This window comes from Homo sapiens, chromosome 2 (genome assembly GCF_000001405.40).
Source record: "Homo sapiens chromosome 2, GRCh38.p14 Primary Assembly".
Lineage (NCBI taxonomy): Eukaryota > Metazoa > Chordata > Mammalia > Primates > Hominidae > Homo > Homo sapiens.
Genome location: NC_000002.12, coordinates 229,139,014 through 229,159,578, shown reverse-complemented (window position 1 = coordinate 229,159,578; position 20,565 = coordinate 229,139,014). Strand labels below are relative to the sequence as shown.

At 39.3% G+C, this 20,565-nt stretch overlaps 1 protein-coding gene across 7 annotated transcripts in view; it reads left to right on the top strand.

Moving 5' to 3' along the window:
• The window catches only part of PID1 (phosphotyrosine interaction domain containing 1), a 247,315-nt gene that overhangs the window by 111,709 nt on the left and 115,041 nt on the right, over positions 1–20,565 (top strand). For 6 of the 7 annotated variants that reach the window (NM_001100818.2, NM_001330158.2, NM_017933.5 and 3 more), the window contains one exon: positions 3,615–3,761. The exons of the other annotated variant lie outside the window; for it this stretch is intronic. In NM_001100818.2, coding sequence (NP_001094288.1) covers positions 3,615–3,761 — 147 coding nt within the window. The remainder of the gene's footprint in view (positions 1–3,614; positions 3,762–20,565) is intronic. 7 annotated transcript variants of the gene reach the window in all.

The window sequence follows — 20,565 nt, the reverse complement described above, 5'->3', positions numbered from 1 at the left end:
AGAAAAGTCCAAAACTGCAAAGGAGACTGTCAGAAAGGGTGGGCTGGAACCGTGGGCTGAAGCTGGCATCCATAGGAGGAATATTTTCTTCTTCAGGGAAGTCTGGGCTGCCTCTTAAGGTCTTTGAACCGACTGAATCAAATTTGCCCTAATTATCTAGCTTACTCTCCCTTACTTCAAATCAACTGATTATGGACTTTAATCACATCTACAAAATACCTTTACAACAACACATAGATTGGTGTTTGAATAACTGGGCATGGTAGCCTAGCCAAGTCAATGCTTTAAATGGACCACCAGAGAGGCCAGATGGAGTCCTAGTGGACTTGTGGAAAAGACACTTTGTCTTGCCACAAATTCCAAAACTTCTACTGCCCTTATATGAGATGAGCTGTTTTGATTCAGGCATGCAACGCACAATAATAACATCATGGAGAATGGGGTATCCATCCCTTCAAGCATTTATCCTTTGTTACAGACCATCCAATTACACTCTTTTAATTAATTTTAAAATGTACAATTAAGTTATTATTGCCTACAATCACCCTGCTGTGCTGTCAAATAGTAGGTCTTATTCATCCTTTCTAACTATGTTTTTTTGTACCCATTAACCATCCCTGCCTTCCCCCACAGCTCCCCCCTACCCTTCACAGCCTCTGGTAACCATCTTTCTACTCTCTATGCTCATGAGTTCAATTGTTTTTATTTTTAGATCCCACAAATAAATGAGAACATGCAATGTTTGTCTTTCTGTGCTTGGCTTATTTCATGTAACATAATGATCTCTACTTTTTAAAGAACTGTTTTTGGCAGTTTTTACTGAGGCGAAGGTACTTGTGTGTGTGTATCATTATCCACTTCTTTCAGTCTTGTGTTTGTTTCATAAACCATACCAGGTCCTTAAGGTCAACTTGGACGAAGCAGTGAGCTGATCTAGTCTATGAATCCTGATTTAGTTTTCTTTTTTTTTTTAATATTTGTGGTTTGTTTTTTAAAATGATGTTACCTTCATTACCTTCCACAAATATTCATTGGACTTCTGAAATGTGCTAGGAACTGTTTTAGGCCCTTGTGATATGTCCTTGAATAAAATAGTTTCTGCTCCTATGGTGCTTTTATATTCTACTGGAAGACAATAAAGTAAACAAAGCAAGTATATAATCTTATAGTGGCGATAAGTAGGGATAAATTATAGGAACAATAAAGCAGGGACAAGGAGTAGGCAGAGATGAGTATATTATGTGTGCAAACTGGCTACACAACTCATAGGGCCCAGTGTAAAATGAAAATTCAGTGTTTCTTATTCAAAAAGCAGAAGAAACGTACCATTGAAGGTACCAAAACATAAAGCTGTTTTAAAATAAATCTTTGTCTGGAATAGTCCTGGTGTTTTTAAAATTATTATTTGCCATTTAATGCTGTTCTAAGTAAAGAAAAATTAAACATTTAGATTCTGAGCATGAATTTACATTGTGCAGTGCCTACTTTAAATGCAAATGTAAGGGTGGGATCATAGAAATTATCCAATTTGCATTTTCTAGTTCATGCTGTATTTTGTTTTTGTCGGAACAGTGAAAACGCTGCACAAAACTAACTTACCTGTTTTTATCTCACTTCTTGATACGTGCACTTTCTCTCACCACTTTGCCTTCATCTTACTGATGAGTAAGGAAGGACTGAAAGGAGAAGGAACTGTGTCTGCCTCACCTTTCCCTTTCCTTCTGTGTTATCATTTCAGTACGTAGGTGGTTGCCTTGTACAGGGAAGTAATACAAGCGGGAAAGGATGTGATAGGATTCCATGATCATTCCTGTTTCTTAGAACAAGGCTAATTTCTTTCTGAACTTGAAGCAAGTTCTGGTTCCAATGCATAGCCTCTTGGGGCTGTGCGTGCCCCTGCTTATTCAAGTCTTAAATACTTACCTTGTACTCACTTTGACTCTTGCTAAATTCCTACATGTTAAGAGTTGAACAGAATTCTGTCTTTATGGGGCATCACTAATGCTCTGTGAAGGTGGGTGGTAAGGATGGGGGATGCACACACTGTATGTTTCTTATCCACTCACATCTGTGCTCCACTGTCCCATCAGACTTTCCTTACAGAATACAAGTTCAAAATAACATTATTAAGACTTTTTTTTTTTTTTTGAGATGGAATCTTGCTCTTATCGCCCAGGCTGGAGTACAGTGGTGTGGTCTCGGCTCACTGCAACCTCCGCCTCCCAGGTTCAAGCGATTCTCCTGCCTCAGCTTCCCAAGTAGCTAGGATTACAGGTGCCTGACATCACGCCCGGCTAATTTTTGTATTTTTAGTAGAGACAGGGTTTCACCATGTTGGCCAGGCTGGTCTCGAACTTGTGACCTCACGTGATCCCCTTTCCTTGGCCTCCCACTTTCAAGATGGGGACATTAAACCAAAGGCATTGAACCAAGTATGGAGTCCTTCTGAGTGTGAGGCCCTCCTAAGCACAGGCTGTAGGCACATGAAGCGAGGCATGAGTCTGTGTTTGTGTGTGTATATGTATGCCGGCTGCTTTATATTTTGATGAGGAAGGGCTGTCTCATGAGGTGACATTTGATCAGGGACCTCAAGGAGGCGAGGAAGCAAGACTTGCAAATACCTACGACAGGAGCAGCGTGATCAGGGGTCCTAAGGCACAAGTGTCTTTGGTTTATTCTCAGAATAGTAAGGAGGACACTGTGCCTGGACCCCTACATGAGAGGATGGGGATGGAGGATGAAATCAGAGAGGTAGTAGGTCCTTGAATCATGTGTGGTCTCAAAGGCCAAGGTAAGAACTTGGAATTTTTCCATGAGGAGATGGGAAGACATGGGAGGGTTTGAGCAGAGGTGGCATGGCACAATTAGATTTTAGAAGGATCTCTCTGGTGACGGTGGGGCAATTCTCTGTATAGGGACAAAGTTGGAAGTGATGGGACCAGGTTGGATGTCATTATCATAGACCAAGGAAAGAGGGGTCTTAGACTGGGTGGTATGGATAGCAGTAATTGAATGTGGTTGGATTCTGAGCATCTTTCACAACAAGAGCCAATGGATGTTGCATATGAAATGGATATTTACCTGGGATCCTGGCCTAAGACAGCAGATAAAAATGGTCTGTCCTAAAGTAGTGAATTTCCTAAGGTTCCACAGCCAGTGCATGAAAGAGCTCAGGAAGGCAGAGAACAGAAGTCTTGTGTACTTTTTCATCTGTTCTCCTTCTACAGTGTCTAGACTTTTCCCAAAATAACCCCTATAACATCCTCTTCCAAACATCTTATGTAGCTGAATCTGCATGGATTCCATTGCCACAATTTCATCTGTATACAGTACGTTGGAAGAGCTTCTCAGAACATAATGTCCTGGGTGAGGTGACTTTACCACTAAGTCATGTTTCTGTGGACTCTGCTTAGGAATTGACTGTCTCCACAGTTTCATCTGAGTGACGTCCTGACAGGACACAGTTCCCCCTCCTCTGTTTTACTAAATATCTCTTGGCCTCCCCTAATAGAACAGAGTCAATAAAACAAGTTGCTACTGGGTTTAATGTACAATTGCAGGACATAAAAGTCCAAGTGATTAAACTACATGTGGCTTATTTTTCTGCTTTTCAGCACTTTCAGACCATGCTGAAGTCTAAATTGAATGTCTTAACACTGAAAAAGGAACCTCTCCCAGCGGTCATCTTCCATGAGCCGGAGGCCATTGAGCTGTGCACGACCACACCGCTGATGAAGACAAGGACTCACAGTGGCTGCAAGGTATGGGGCACGTGGCCAGCAGGGGTTCTCTTGGTGAGATAGCCTCAAAGATGTGTGGGCTTGAGACCTATGTTTCACAATGGTAATCATTTTTAAGAATGAAAATATAAAATGACCAACAAAATAAATTCACAGAGTGATGGTAGACTGAATTCATATCCTGTTTTATTTTTCTAAATGACCTAACACTATCACTTTTGGACACGCATTAAAGACCTAGGGTTTTTTTGTTTTTGTTTTTTTTTGAGACGGAGTCTCGCTCTGTCGCCCAGGCTGGAGTGCAGTGGTGTGATCTCGGCTCACTGCAAGCTCCGCCTCCTGGGTTCACATCATTCTCCTGCCTCAGCCTCCTGAGTAGCTGGGACTACAGGCTACAGGCACCCGCCACCATGCCCGGCTAATTTTTTGTCTTTTTAGGAGAGACGGGGTTTCACCATGTTAGCTAGGATGGTCTCGATCTCCTGACCTCATGATCTGCCCACCTCAGCCTCCCAAAGTGCTGGGATTACAGATGTGAGCCACCAAGCCCGGCCTAAAGACCTAGGTTTTAGTATATATGAATAAAATTGTATTCTCTCTGTGATTTCTGTAGCTCTGTGGAACTTTGGAGTTCACAAGAAAAGTTTTGTTCTTAATGATAATTCTTCCCTTTGTTCTTTCAATCTGAATAAAACATATCTTGAAGAATGAAAAAAACATAAAAAATCAAGTTTTCTAACAGTTATACTCTCCAAATCCTTTAGGGATAATTTTGCAGTTTTTGCTTTGCTTCAGCTCTCAAAATTTATACTAATATTCATGCCTCAGAATCCAGAAAAAGCATTTTCATTTATGCAAACTTTAATGCCAACGTGGAAACAAAACTAGAAATGAAATGTATAATTTTGGTAAGCTTTGGATTTTTTCTCACACGATACTCTCTTTTGCTTGAGTTGATGAATATAGTAATCAATTTAGAGATCACAAAGAAAATATGTTTTATGGATGTTTTATCATCAGAAATTTGTTTTGAGTAGTGGAAATAAAATCAGAGACAAGGAAAGTGCTTTTGTATATGGATTTCTTTCATAGCTTTGTAGATATACTCCTTTCCTTGATGCTTTCCTTATTGCTTTCGAGATATACTCCTTTTCCTTATTGCTTAGTGTGAAGGAATCAGTTCTCGCATAGCTGTGGTCAGGTTGGCGTCTACAGCGATCTTGGGTGATGGTGGTATGCACAAAACCTCATCCACATTCATTCATTCCACACATACTCATTGGGTGCTCACTGTCTGACCGGCATAGTGTCACAGTGTGGGCAAAACCCACCAGCATCTTTGTGGGATTTAACTGCTCACTGAGGGGCATGGGAGGAGAAAATCTAGGTAAACAAGCATGGTTAGTGAGAAATCCAATTTGTGAAGAACCTGCAGGAGAATCTTTCAGGCGAAAGAATAGGGCGTACTAATTCTATGAGGTGGGTGGTCTTGGTGTGTTTGGGAACAACAGGGAATGGGCCAGTGTACCTGAGAACTTGAGAAAGTTGTGATGAGTGGTGGCGCTGGGGGTGGGGGGAAAAGAGTCTTGTGGTCATGGCGAGAAGTTTAGGTTTCATTCTAATTATGATGGGGGAATCATCAGTGGAATAAGGCAAGTGAGCTATGTGACTCATTTTAAAGTGATTTTAAATGGTAATTCTGATAAGGAGAACTTCCAACTTCCCAAGAGCTATTGTCAGTGGCTCTGCCTTAACAGGAGAGAGTGAATCAACAGAACTGGCGTTAGGTACATTACATTTAATGCTTTTGGTGAATTGATGATACAAGGGAATTATAAATTTGAAAGTGATATGAGATCAAATTCGTTATACATTCTTCAGGAGATTTATTAATGCTATTTTGATTTCTGTTCCTATGAGGAAAGATGGTGCCTCAAAGCAAGATGAAATCAGTAGGGACAAGTATATGGAGGAGAATTAAGTGTGATAAAGCCTATAAAGTATGTTTAAAACGGGAAGGGCAAAAACTACACAGTTTTAAAATAAAAATACCTAGCAATCTAACAATCTAATGTAGATATTAAATAAATGTGTGTGTGTTTGTAAGAGAGAGAAAAATATTTGCTAGAATAAAAACCATCATTTTTCTGAAAAGGATTATAGGGTTCATGTCTCATGGACTAATTTTTTCTGTGTGCTGCCTTAGGTTGTACTCATTTATTTTACTTTTAAAAGGACGTTGAAAAAAAAATAGTAGGAAATCAGAAGAGTGTGCCAAAGAGGGCAAGGGTTCCGCTGGCCTCGGTATGTGTGGCTAGCTAGACAAAGGAAATCGACAATGATTTCATTTGGACACCAGGAAGAACTTCTGCATTCAAGGAGAAAAACACATTCCACCGGGCTATATAAAGTTTATGGACTCTCCATCCCTAGAAACCTTGAAGAGGCGATTCCAGGCATAGATAATCATGACCCTGGAGTCAGGAATCTGGGCCAACACCTCTTGAGGGCTTTTCCAGCGTTATTATTCTATCTGAAGGAAGAAAACCTGCAACGTGTAATTCTCCAAATTGTATACTATTGACAGAATACACTTAAGTTTTGACTGGAAACGTACTGGTGTTTTATTCTTTAATTCTCAAAGACAGTGTCACTTTTGTGTTCTGAGTTTTGTTAAAAAAATCTATTTGAACCTTGAAATGTTGGTTTAAAATCCTTTTAGATCTTCCCCAATTTTTTCTGATCATCTTCAAGAACAAAGTCCAGTGTTTCCTCTCTGATTCTTGCTAGTAACTTAGCTCACAAGATGCCAGCTGCAGAAGGAACGCTCTCTCGGGCTCACGCCTCCCAGGAATAATGAACACAATGTAGCCCGGGCCCAGCTGCAGGGCCAGCTCACGGGACCCTCCGCCTTCACACAGTAGTCACTCTTTTTTCCTAATAGCTCTTATAACTTTGGGTTTGGGGAGGGAAAGAGGCAGGAGGAAGCAAAGGAAAGGGGGAGTTGAAAATGGGTTATGGCGAGCACCACTGAGACCCTAGCTCATCTCAGATTTCCCATTTTCTGCTGATCTGTATTCTCCGTGGGTCCTGACGGGATTGCCTTGCTAGGCTATTCATGTTTCGGGCAGCTGGGTCTTTGTGTGTTCTCCTCTATTGCTGCCACTTTTTTTTTTTTTTCTGGAGTAGAGTTATTTAACTGTACAACCCACTGCAGTGCATTAGGACTCTTGTTGGAGCTGTTTGGAGTATCAGACGCTGTGTGTGATTTTGCTGCAGCAATGATGGCTTGTCACACCTTTCTCCTCCTATCTAGCAAGATGGAATCCTAGGTGGCTTCAGCTTGTTAGCAAACATTTATTGAATTAGTAGTCATTGAAAACCTACTGTGTACATGGTATTGTGGAAAAAGGAATAAAAATAGGTATTGTGGGGGATGCAACCTATAGCCAAGTAGAAGGAATAAGACAAGTGCCCAAATAAATAAATCACAAGTACTTCTGAAACTTGTGTGAGTATCAGAATCCCCTGGCAAGCAGACTCCTGGACCTTCTTCCCAGAAATTTTGACTCAGGCACTCAGCTTAGTGGTGGGGAACAGGAGCCTGCACTTTAAATTGTACCATGTAATTGACATGAAGGCAAACCGTGTTTGGAGGTTGAAGTTCTGAGCTGCAGAGTAATGTGACAAGAGCAACCTGAGTGACATGAACAGACCCGTACCCTGGGAGGTGGGGAGTGGGATGGAAAATGGGATTTGGTGGATTTGCTATGGCAGTCCAGAAAGCTGACTTCTAAGGAAGAACTGGGCTCTGGAATTACTGGATCAGATGTGAGCACTGTGTGTGCCACCTTATCCTCCAGCAGGAGCTGCCCTCCTTTCATTGAGACTTGCAGGGCCATTCACTGATGTCCTCAAAGCCTTCACAAAATAGTGATAATAATGATGACCATAGTAATAAAAAAAAATAGCTGGGCGCGGTGGCTCACGCCTGTAATCCCAGCACTTTGGGAGGCCGAGGCGGGCGGATCACGAGGTCAGGAGATCTAGACCATCCTGGCTAACACGTTGAAAACCCATCTCTACTAAAAATACAAAAAATTAGCCGGGCGTGGTGGTGGGCACCTGTCGTCGCAGCTACTCGGGAGGTTGAGGCAGGAGAATGGCATGAACCCGGGAGGTGGAGCTTGCAGTGAGCCGAGATCGTGCCACTGCACTCCAGCCTGGGTGACAGAGCGAGACTCCGTCTCAGAAAAAAAAAAAAAAAGAAATAGAAGTCTTAATAACACAGAACTGACAATAACACAGAACTGACATTAAAGAACAGGTGTTAATTAATGCATTAAGCACTCATCTATGCACTTTTCATGGCATAGAGCCATTTCATCCTCATGGCAACTCAACGGTTTAAGTGCCAGGTGTAGCCCCATTTCACAGATGAACTAGTTGAGGCATAGAGAAGTTCATCTGACTGTCCCAGGGTCCCTCGTTAGTAACTAGCAGAGCCTGGATTTGAACTGCAGCATTCTGACTCCACAGCCTGTGCTCCCCCCCACCGGATTCCACTGCCATTGGGTGGGTTTTGTGTCTATCCACAGGTGCCTCTTGAAACAGGTGGGGCAGTTGTGTCATGTGATTTTGAGCAAGTTGTTTCTTTTCTTCAGGCTTCTGCACCTTTCATAGGTCAGTATCAGGATCTCATGGACTATACAAAATTAAAAAAAAAATGTAAGGGCTAGTTGATTTGGCAGGTGAGTTGTTACACACTCCTTAGTGGATTCTGAGTTCCGTGCCTACCATCCCATCCTGCTCTCTTTCATCCAGACATCCAAGGCTGGAGGATTTACCTTGTTTAATTGGATTGGGATGTTATCTTTTCTTACAGAAACCAGAAAGCATAAGGAAAGTACTAAAAATATCATATGATTTTACCCCAGATATACCACGCAGATTCTCAAATTTGGTTTTCTTAAAAAAAAAAAAAAGGCACTCTACAATGAAAAATCATATGCCTTATAAACATTATATGTGTAGATATATAACCAACACAAAATGCCCACCGAGTTCCTATATGGCCGTGTGGATGCTGTACAATACCCGTTCCACAGTGCTTATACTGTTAAAGCAAAATAGCAGCAATATTGTAACAAACAAACTGACACATAACTGGGGATTTAGCACATAACATATGTCTTTTATTTAAAATGTTTTATAAAGTTTGTAATTGGTGCTAATTTCTGAGCATGAGGATTTCTCTGAGTTACAAAAGGGAAGTAACCCAGAAGAGAAATACCAAGGGGAGGTGTGTGTATAGGAACAGGAAAAGCAGGATCATTAGCAGTTGTTGACATGGGTCTCCTGTTTGGGACTGAATCTGTCTGCCTTGATTGGGAGAGTACATCGCTGTCTTTCCACAACATCCTTTTCGTATGGCTGGTGGGGTCAGCGTCTGAGGTCAGCCCTGAGGGTTGGCTTCAGGGGGTTGCTTCTCCTGGCCCCTGAGGCAACCTTGGATGTCCGAGGTGAACAGGGCTAATTTAGCATGACCTCTTGTCTTTTCTTTTCTTTACTTCTTTCTTTCTCTCTCTCTCTCCTTTTTTTTTTTTTTTGAGTCTCACTCTGTTTCCCAGGCTGGAGTGCAGTGGTGTGATGTCAGCTCACTGCAACCTTTCCACCTCCCAGGTTCAAGCGATTCTCCTGCTTCAGCCTCCTGAGTAGCTTAAATTGCAGGCATCCGCCACCAGGCCCGCCTAATTTTTATAATTTTAGTAGGAGTTTTCACCTTGTTGGCCAGGCTGGTCTCGCACTCCTGACCTCAAGTGATCCACCCGCCTCGGCCTCCCAAAGTGCTGAGATTATAGACCTGAGCCACCACCCAGCCAGAATGAGATATTTCTTTGTGCTCCCCTTCCTTTCTGTTCCCTCCCAGCCTAGATTGAAGGTGTCCATGTCTTGATTCTGCAGCCTATCCGGCAGCGCTTGTTCCTTTGTCCTTTGCCGAGAGTCCCACCAGCCCCTCACCTAGGCCTGTGCTCACCATGTGCTTGGCCCCATGTACCCAAATCTTGTCTCCTCTTGAGTGAGGCACTTGGCCTGGCTTGATGTGAAGCCCAGTCTAAAGCCGCTACGGTCATCTTCCCATTTATGAGGGTAACTGTCAAACAAACCAGTTTCCAAGAAGGAGTTAATGATCTGTAAACCATAACAATTTTTATATTGCCTTTTTTGAGATTCCTTGCCTTCAGGTATAACAGTAGTAGTCCCTTAGCTCTCAGGAAGGAAGAGATTGATTACAGTTTCATAGAAGGGAGGGGAGATGTTTCTGAGCTGAAGACTTTGCAGGTAACCCTTAAATACTATCAGGGGGTGCTTGTATAAAACAGCCAGTCTTAGAAATGAATTCCAGTCATCCAGCTTATCTCATGATAAGGACTCTTGATTTGAATGTAAGTGTATTTGAAATTAGCATCACATGTATCTGATTTCTACACCTAAATCTTTGGGTTCCGTTGATCAATTATGTATTTAACTTGAAATACAGTCATGTTTTCTCATTTTAGACAAAGGGCCATTTTTTACTTCTTAACACAAATGAAAATATTAGTTTTATTATGTGACCACCCTCATCACATGCATCTCTACAGCTCTTTCTTGGTGTTGGCCATTTGGGGCATTTCTTGAATCCTATGCCAATTATACAGACTTTCTTTTGCAAAGTAAGTTTCTGACTTTAATACCAAGACAGAATACAAATAATATTCTATAAAATTTACATAGAATCTAATATAATATATATATATATATATTAGATTCAAGCCTGTGGTTTCCATTGATATTTTCATCTAAATTCAGAGTCATTGATATTTATTTTCTCTTTATTCTTTCTTACACTTTCCTGTAAACAAATCAAAACATTCACTTCTGCTTGTCTCCTCAAATGCAGGAAGCTAAAAGTTTATATGAGCTAACCTTTGTTGTTTCAGAGACAAGCTTTTATTTTTCTGCAATTTTTACTCTTTGTAGACTTGTAAATATTTTTCCTCTCTCTCTCCCTTCCTTCTTCCCTCCCTCCTTCCCTCTCTCCCTCTTTCCCTCCCTCCTTTCCTTCCTTTTTTCCTTTCTCCCCTTTTTTCCTCCTTCGCTTTCTCTCTTCCTCCTTCTTTTCTACTTTTCTTTCATTCTACATCCACAAGAATTTATTGCACACTGTCAGGATTGTACACTTACATATAAACATCTACCTGCCTCTGATATTTAAGGACCAAGGACCTAGCAGAATCAATGGAAAAGGAATATTTTGAAAACCGGAGGAATCTCCTCGTCCCCAGCAGGAACTTAAGCCACGCTCAGCCTTGCTCCTCCCTCTTCACCCTGTCCAGTGCTCATTCTCCTAACCTCCTTGTTCCAGTGGAGTCAGGAGAGAAAGTGGATATGGCTCCAGGGGTAGCTGAAGCCTCCATCTATTGTTTTAGTGTTGATCTTTAAATATATGTTCAAATACACACTCCTTATGCTACTGCTAGTGTACCTAGCGCGGAAGGATATTATACATGTGGTTTTAATGTAAACTTCTTCACCGCAGGTCCAAACTTACAACTTCGAATTCTATACTGTGGTCTTTCCACCAACAGCCGTGGTGGCTTTGGCAAAGCTCTTTATCCTTTGTGACCTCACTTTTGTTATTTATTGACTAAAATCTTTTCATACTAGGAATTAAAACTTCCCAGCTGATACAGGTGTTTCAAGTGAAGATTATAACTTTGCCTGATTTATCTGGTTTGCCACATAGAATTGGCCCTTGCTTAATGCTGTTGAGTTGGATGACAGACTTGTTTATGGGGTCACTCTTATGATTGGTGGGTGCAGTAGAGCTGTTGTCCCATGGAGGGACTCTCTGGAGATCCCTGAAAGCTTCCAACTACTTATTTCCATGTGCCCCATACACTGTGAGGGCTATAGCTGTAAATCGTGGTCCTTTTACTATAGAGAATCAGATTTGACATTAAAGCCCAACTTTTGGGCAAATGACAAATATTATAATTTTCTTACTGACAAAATTAGTCTACTTCTTGATTTTAAAAACTCCTGGGGGATCAGCAAAGATTCATTAGTGAAAAAATGGGAAAACCTACTAAGCGTTTAAATGTATGAAAAAGATAATATACAATTTTTATTCAGCAATACTATGGAAAATATGCAGTCATCAAAAATTTTGTTGTAGAAATTATATTGATATGGAAAATATTTATAATGTATTAAGTATATAAAAAAGTTGATTATAACATGTTATTAGTATCCATTTTTATAAAATAATGTAAAATAAAATAATTATATGTAGATATTTGTAATAGAACGCTGGACAGATATACTAAAATATGAATAGAAGTGATCCCTGGATAATAAAACTAGGGATACACTTTTGATTTTCCTACTTTTTTGCTTATTTGCATTATCTAAATTTTTAATGCTGAATGAGTAATACTTTTTAAATTAGTTTTAAAAAGTAATAATTAAAGAAAAAATTTATTTGGATGTTAAAAGTTTGTCTGGAAAATTTATAGGAAACTCCATTCTAAATGGAACATTTTGTAAAAAGCTGCAAGTCGGTAACTTAGACATTTATTTCTTCTCTGTGCCCAAACAGAATTTCATAAATTTCAGGGAAAGTGACGTTTTTCCATTTAACTTGTGATTTGTCTGGTGTCAGACTTGCCTCATGTGCTCAGCATAGTAATTGTAAACCTACTCAAACACATTTGAAAGAATGACATACTGGTTTGCTGAAGGCTCCTTCCTGGCAAAATTAGTGGCTTAAAACAACAGAAATTTACTCTCTCATAGAGCTAGAGGCTGGAGTCCACAATGAGCATCATGGGACAGAAATCCAGGTGTCAGCAGGGTCATGCTCCCGGAGGCTCTAGGGGGACAATCCATTCTTTGCCCCCTGCATTTTAGTAGGCTGCAGGCATTCCTTGGCTTGTGGGTACATCACTGCAATCTCTGCATGGTGGTCACATTGCCTTCTCTTCTGTCTCTATCAAACCTCCCTCTGCTTTCCTTTCTTATAAGGACACTTGTGATTGGACTTAGTGCCCGTTGGATAATCCAGTAATCTATCTATCTAGGATCCTTCATTTTATCAAATCTACAAAAAGCCTTTTTCTTTGTAAGGTAGCATTTATAGGTTCCAGGGGTTAGGATGTAATGTCTTTGGGTGGCCAGTATTCACCCTACTACAGATGGTTCTCTTATAATTGGGGAATTGTAAAAATGCAAAAATTGTCAAACACACACACACACACACACACACACAAAATGTTCACAGTTCATAATTTTTTTTTAAAAATTTACTTTAAGTTCTGGGATACATGTGCAGAACGTGCAGGTTTGTTACATAGGTATACATGTGCCATGGTGGTTTGCTGTACCTATCAACCTGTCATCTAGGTTTTAAGCCCTGCATGCATTAGGTATTTGTCCTAATTATCTCCCTCCCCTTGCCCCTGACCCCCTGACAGGCCCTGGAGTGTGTTGTTCCTCTCCCTGTGTCCATGTGTTCTCACTGTTTAACTCCCACTTATGAGTGAGAACAAATGGTGTTTGGTTTTCTGTTTGCAGCACTATATACAATAGCCAAGACTTGGAACCAATCCAAATGCCCATCAATGATAGACTGGATAAAGAAAATGTGGCACATACACACCATGGAATACTATGCAGCCACAAAAAAGAATGAGTTCATGTCCTTTGCAAGGGCATGGATGAAGCTAGAAGCCATCATTCTCAGTTCATCAGTTTTTTAGGTTATGTTTATTTTTTCTTAAGCCTAAGAAAATTATTTCCTTGGAATTCAGAAAGCTACTAAAAAATCGAAAAATAAAGAAAATTGCTCTGTAAAGGTAGCATCTTACTCATATGTTGAGCCAAATTCATTTTTTAATCAAAATTTCTGAAAAAGAAGAGATACTTTAACATTTTATATAGAATATAGGTTTTTTTACACAAAACCTGTGGTTTTTTTAACCTGTTCTACACAGGTTTTGTACTACAAATATTCACATTAGTAGTTTGTTATCTTCTAATATAGTGGGCACATGAAACAGTGTTTGTAAAAGATTCACGGTACTGTCACAGGGACAGTGAATAGATACTTTTCTCCTCATTTTGAGTAAAGCTTAGAGCATAAGTTTGAAAACGATGTGGGAAATATGAGTATAATATGCATGTCTGAGAGAAGTACCTTTTTATGCAGTTATTTTCCCCTTATGATTTCCTGTTAAGAGAGTTCATCTTTGAAATAATTTGTTGGTTTAGTTCTGAAAATTTAGTTTAATTATTATCTGAATTTATGGTTTATTTATCTAGAAAAAAGGTTAATTATTCCACATATTTTTCTGGGTTGGTTTTGTGGATAAAATATATTTCCACTATGGTAGACTTCATTTGTTAGCCAACCATAGAAACACTCCACAGAAAACTAATTAAGTTGGTAGAAATTCATTAATAATGTGCCTTATGGTTTCCAGTGGAAATTGTATAACTTCTTAGAGACTCTCCAAAGATTATAATAACTTCAAAACTAAAATCTGGTTTATACAAATATGATACTTAAATATAAGATGTTAACTTTTAAAATGCTGTCTCGAGTTTATATATATATATATATATATATATATATATATACACATACATATATTTAAACTCAGCATTCGTTATGTCATTCTTATTTTCAATGTTCTATTCACCTTTTGCATTAGGGGAATCTGTACTGAGGGAACCAAATGTGAGAACAAGTCTACCTGCTACTCCAAGAGTAGTGTAATTTATTGTTTATTAAATGAAAAAAATATACTTTAGGTACGAAAGCATTAAACAAGATAGACGGTGAGTGTAATCTTATATAAACCTAGACTTTCCTTGTAAGTGATTTTTTTCCCTTGAGTTTTAAATTGTATCAAAGCAATACTTGCAGAGATGAAAACATCAAATAACAGTGAAAAAAACTAAACATAAAATATTTTTAGCTGTCTCTTTCATCCCTTCTGCACACCTCAGTCCTGCTTGAAGAAGTGATCGTAATTATTTATTTTGGCAGTTTCTTCTTGTGTTTACCTTTACATATCCAAACACTACACTTTATCCCATTATGATAGATAATATTTTTTAGCTTTCTGTTTTGGTAGATGTAGATTTAGGCCAATAATGACTATACTCACTCTCTTTCCTCCGTTTTGCTAGTATAGTTACTTCTGAAAGTTTAGTGAACTCAATATCTGTGTGATAACTAAAGGGCCCATCAGTGCAGCATAATTTTTATTTCCTTTATTGTTCAATTTAGAATATATATTTTTAGAATTGTATAGTTTTATATACACCTACACTTAATTTTCCACAAATGCTTTATCAAATTTGGCGTATGACTATCAATATGTTCCCCAGCTACCCGGTTATATGACATAGTGTATTCTTCATCTCCTCCTGGGGATCTCACCCTGAGAGTTCCTTGTCCTCTTGTTCCTGAGTAGACTCTGTCTCTGGGTCAGCTGCGCTCCTTCTGTAAGTTAGGGACTTCTCTCTGTTGCTCTGCTGTGTTGGATGCTCCTCTGTTTTCTTCCCCTTTTTTGCTTTACTCCTGTGTTATGCTGGAGCACGTCTCCCAGAAGTAAACATTGTGTGCCTTTTATATCTGAAAGTTTCTTTATTTTACTCTCAACTTTTCACCTTTTGGCTGGGTATAGAAATGTAGACTGGAATTAATTTCTACTAAGCACTGTGAAGGCACTAACCATTGACTTCTATGATCCCTTGTTACATTTCAGGAACCTGATCCTATTTGATTCAGATATTAATATTCTTTTGTATGTGACTTTCCCCCCTGTATTAGTCCATTTTCACACTGCTATAAGGAACTACCTGAAACTGGGTAATTTGTAAGGAAAAGGGGTTTAATTGACTCACAGTTCCACACAGCTGGGGAGGCCTCCGGAAACTTAAAATCATGGCGGAAGGGGAAGGGGAAGCAAGGCACATTTTACATAGCAGCAGGGGTTGGGGAAGTGCCACACTTATAAACCATCAGGTCTTGTGAGAACTCACTATCACGAGAACAGTATGGGGGAAACGGCCCCCATGATCCAGTCACCTCACACTAGGTCCCTCCCTTGACACATGGTGATTACAATTCAAGATGAGATTTGGATGGGGACACAGCCAAACCGTATCATCCCTCAACACTTTGCAAGCTTTAAAGATCTTTTTGTTTTTGGTCCTCTTTAATTTTATGGTTACGTGCCTTGGTGTGGATGTTCACCCACTTCATCCAGTTAATGGTTGTGGGCCTTTTTAATTTGGAGACTCTTGTTTCTTAACAGTTCAACAAACTTAAGGAAAATCCTGACTTGCCCTCCTAATTTGGGAACCATTTAAGATATAAGGACAGATGATAAATGTAGATTAGGTCAAAATATCAGTTTTTTAAAAAATTTTATTATTATTATACTTTAAGTTTTAGGGTACATGTGCACAATGTGCAGGTTAGTTACATATGTATACATGTGCCATGCTGGTGTGCTGCACCCATTAACTCATCATTTAGCATTAGGTATATCTCCTAAAGCTATCCCTCCCCCCTCCCCCTACCCCACAGCAGTCCCCAGAGTGTGATGTTCCCCTTCCTGTGTCCATGTGTTCTCATTGTTCAATTCCCACCTATAAGTGAGAATATGCGGTGTTTGGTTTTTTGTTCTTGTGATAGTTTACTGAGAATGATGATTTCCAATTTCATCCATGTCCCTACAAAGGACATGAACTCATCATTTTTTATGGCTGCATAGTATTCCATGGTGTATATGTGCCACATTTTCTTAATCCAGTCTATCATTGCTGGACATTTGGGTTGGTTCCAAGTCTTTGCTATTGTGAATAGTGCCACAATAAACATACGTGTGCATGTGTCTTTATAGCAGCATGATTTATAGTCCTTTGGGTATATACCCAGTAATGGGATGGCTGGGTCAAATGGTATTTCTAGTTCTAGATCCCTGAGGAATCGCCATACTGACTTCCACAAGGGGTGAACTAGTTTACAGTCCCACCAACAGTGTAAAAGTGTTCCCATGTCTCCACATCCTCTCCAGCACCTGTTGTTTCCTGACTTTTTAATGATTGCCATTCTAACTGGCGTGAGATGCTATCTCATTGTGGTTTTGATTTGCATTTCTCTGATGGCCAGTGATGATGAGCATTTTTTCATGTGTTTTTTGGCTGCATAAATAAATTTGCTTAGGAAAATGTAGCTTAGGTATGTAGAGTCAGTGGGCTTTCTAAAACTGCCATATCTTGGTTGAAACCCCTGATATGTTACTGTCTTCTCTCTCATTGATTTTTTCCTTTCCATTTACGACTGAATGTTTTCCATTATGATCAATTTAGTAGACTTTGAGAAGGAGAGGCGATACATATTGAAGGACAATTTGCCATCTTTTCCCAGAAATCCTCTCTGGATTGTTAAATCCTCTCTAACTTGCTAATTTTAGCCATTTGAACTTTCCTTTCTTGTATCTTTATTTAAGATGAAGACAGTGACACTTAAGTTACTTTCAAGTTTAAAGAGATATTTATAAAGTACTTCGAACTTTTTTGTGGGAGCAGTACTATATAAATAAAATACTGCCATTCAAATACAGCCCCCGCCCCAGGTTTGAATGTAGAGGTCAATGAACTATAGAGAAAATGGTAACAAATAAGATATGACCAAAAAGTGGCAATAAATAACACGGGGTCATAAAAATTTCATAAAATCCTCTTTTAAATATGAAGGGGGATTTTTTTTTTCATTACATCCCTGGGTGTTTCAGCTCCTGACTATCCAGCTAGTAGAATATAAAAACCACTGTAACAACAGGTGCAGATGTGTTCCTGGGTGTGCCAGTTGTTCATTTCTTTGTTTTTAATGAAAATATACATTCGTTTCTTGGCAAGAGAAATGATGTCTGGGCTTCTGTGCGTACTGAGTGCTCTAAATGAGACATTAGTCAGATTGGCATTTATGAGTCACCAGGCATCTTCAGAAGCCAAATCCAGGAATTATAAAATAATTTACTCAGGAAGTAATGAGGATAAATGAAATTCATCATCCTGGGAGCCAGGAAAGTTACCCTGTAAGCTGAAAATCCCACTGAAATTAGTTCCCCCCCCACATTGATTGATGAATGCATTCTCTTTAAGAGTTGTTTTCGTGACACTTATGAGCAGTGCTAGAATTCTCATGTTTCCACCTAGTATGCCTGCAATAAGTGTTAGAGCAGGAGTGGTGCCATCCACTATTATGGAAACACTTTCCTATTAGTCTATTCATGAGGTGGTGCAAAACAGGTGCTTACTTACCAGACAGCTCATTCAGAGTCCACCTTGCTTGTGGATAAAAGTCCCTTTTCTTCTGTTCTCCCCTCTTTATTCTCCTTCCAGAGATTTCCTAAAGTCTTTTTTACTTCTTGGCCCTTCCTTGCAGCCCCATCCCCAACAATCCTGGTCTATCAGGAACATCTGGTTTGGAGGTAGAAGGAGCTCCAGGGAAAGGGAGCTTCAGGATCCTCAGCATTAATCATCAATAGGAGAAATGGACCTTAGTCTTGAAGATTAAAAAAGAAAGTTTTATGTTGCAAAAACGTGGTGTCTTCATAGTTACTATGCCAACAGAACCCTAATTTTATTTCCGCTTCATAGCAAGGGTCATCTTCTGGAAGAGAAAGAGCAGAGAGGAAGATAAGTCATCCTGCCACATAGATACTAGAGTCAGTCTGAGACAAAGAGAGTCAAAGGAAGGAAATGTGCAGACCTATTAGGGCAATGCAAAAAAAAAAAATAGTTTATTTGTTCATGGTCAGTAAAATCCTCTACTAGGAACCCTACTCATTTTTTCTTTTTAAATTACAGACCCCTTTAAACAAAAGAAACACTACTGATAATTATAAATGTATTAATACATAGGCTAAATCGCTGTAATAGTTACTAATTATTAAATATATATTTTTAGAGATAGGGTTTATTATGACTATTTTAAAACAAATATAAAGTAGAAATGTTGGCATGAGCTACATTAGGAATAAACAATATTGTATGTATATCTTGTTATTATGATGGATTTCTCTTAGTGTAGGCCAGGCTCTTCTTTAACAATAATGGATATAAAACTGAATTTCACATAGCTTTGATAGTTTTAATATTGTTTGGCTGACTTCTTGTCAGATGCAATTGGATCATCAGTTTTCACCCCAGAATAAGGTAGAAAAGATCATATGCCAGGAGAAGGAAATACATCAGCTCTACCATTTTCTTGTGTGTGTGTGTGTGCACTCTTTTAATTACCTTAAATCTGTCATTTATTTGTAGGAATGTCAGCAGGATTTTATTAAAACCAGATTTGTAATCCATAACTTCACTGCAGTGAGCGAATGTGGACTGTAAAGCTCTGAGTGATCCCGCAGGTGAAGTGTCCCATCAACTCCTTTCCCACTATAGGATGCCCACCCTCCCTTAGGATACTTCTAATTCTGTATGTGACACTGATTATATGACAAATGGATTGGTGGAGGATTCCAGTGTCGGCCTATGTATTAAGCATTAGTAACGCTGAATTTATTTCATATTTTTGAAGATAAAAATAACTATAAATAGAAATTTTAATATATTCTGTCCACAACCTAGGTGATTCTATTATGTAGCTTCCGGGGTGGACATAGCATACTTTGGGGATGAGGTCCTGGAGTACCACGCTAAGGACATGGAGGCTGCTTCTTGGCTTTGCAGAAAAGCATGCCAAGCTCATTCATGAATATCTGCTATTGTTTCAGGAGGAGAAAATGATAGACTGGTGTCAGATATCCTGATCAAGATCAAAATCCTCTCTTGGCCCCCATGTGGAGGGTGAGAAAAACTAGACCTATCAGACCAAGTGATATTCTTAGCAAACAGGTGTAGGAGCAGAACTGGTATTTATCTTTCTTCATTCTTGGGCCAATCCTCCAGTGCTGAGACTGTTCCTCCTTATTATATCAAGGGAGAGATAAGGAGAGAACTCATCATCATTTGTGTGGATGTTAAAGACATTAAAATGAAATGTAGCTTGTGTAGCTTTGGCCACGGTCTGAGATTTATTGACAACTAGCAGCCAGTTATGATAGCCAAGATGGTTCATTAGCTAGGGCAGACTCTACATTCGTAGATCAAGATTTCTTTGTAGAAAGGAAAAGTGACTTTCTCAGTGCTGGGATATTCAGATTTAGGAGGCTTTTTTGTTCGTTGTTTGTTTTTTCCTTGTTCAGTAGTTCACAGCTAGAAGAGTTCACATGTTCCTAGAGGATAAAGATGCTAAGATCAGCACTGTGTGAAATATGGAAAATCTTAGATTCTGTGGGTGGGGCAAAATGTATTTTCATTGTATTTGTAGGATAGATTCTTCATCTAGCTCATTAATCTGTAGTCGTTTGTCTTTAGGCTGCAGCATTTGACTCATTCATGATTGTGCCATCACTGTGAAGGAAGTGCCATTTGTGACACTGTATCCCTTTTTCTTTCTTTTAAGTGTAGCTAAAGACAGGTTAAGTGCCCTATCATGGTGAAGCAAAACTAAAAATACATGTATTCCAAGGGAGTGTTTGGTCAAGGGAAGCTCGCTTGCTCGCTCGCTTGCTTTCTTTCTTTCTTTCTTTCTTTCTTTCTTTCTCTTTCTTTCTTTCTTTCTTTCTTTCTTTCTTTCTTTCTTTCTTTCTTTCTTTCTTTCTCTTTCTTTCTTTCTTTCTCTTTCTTTCTTTCTTTCTTTCTTTCT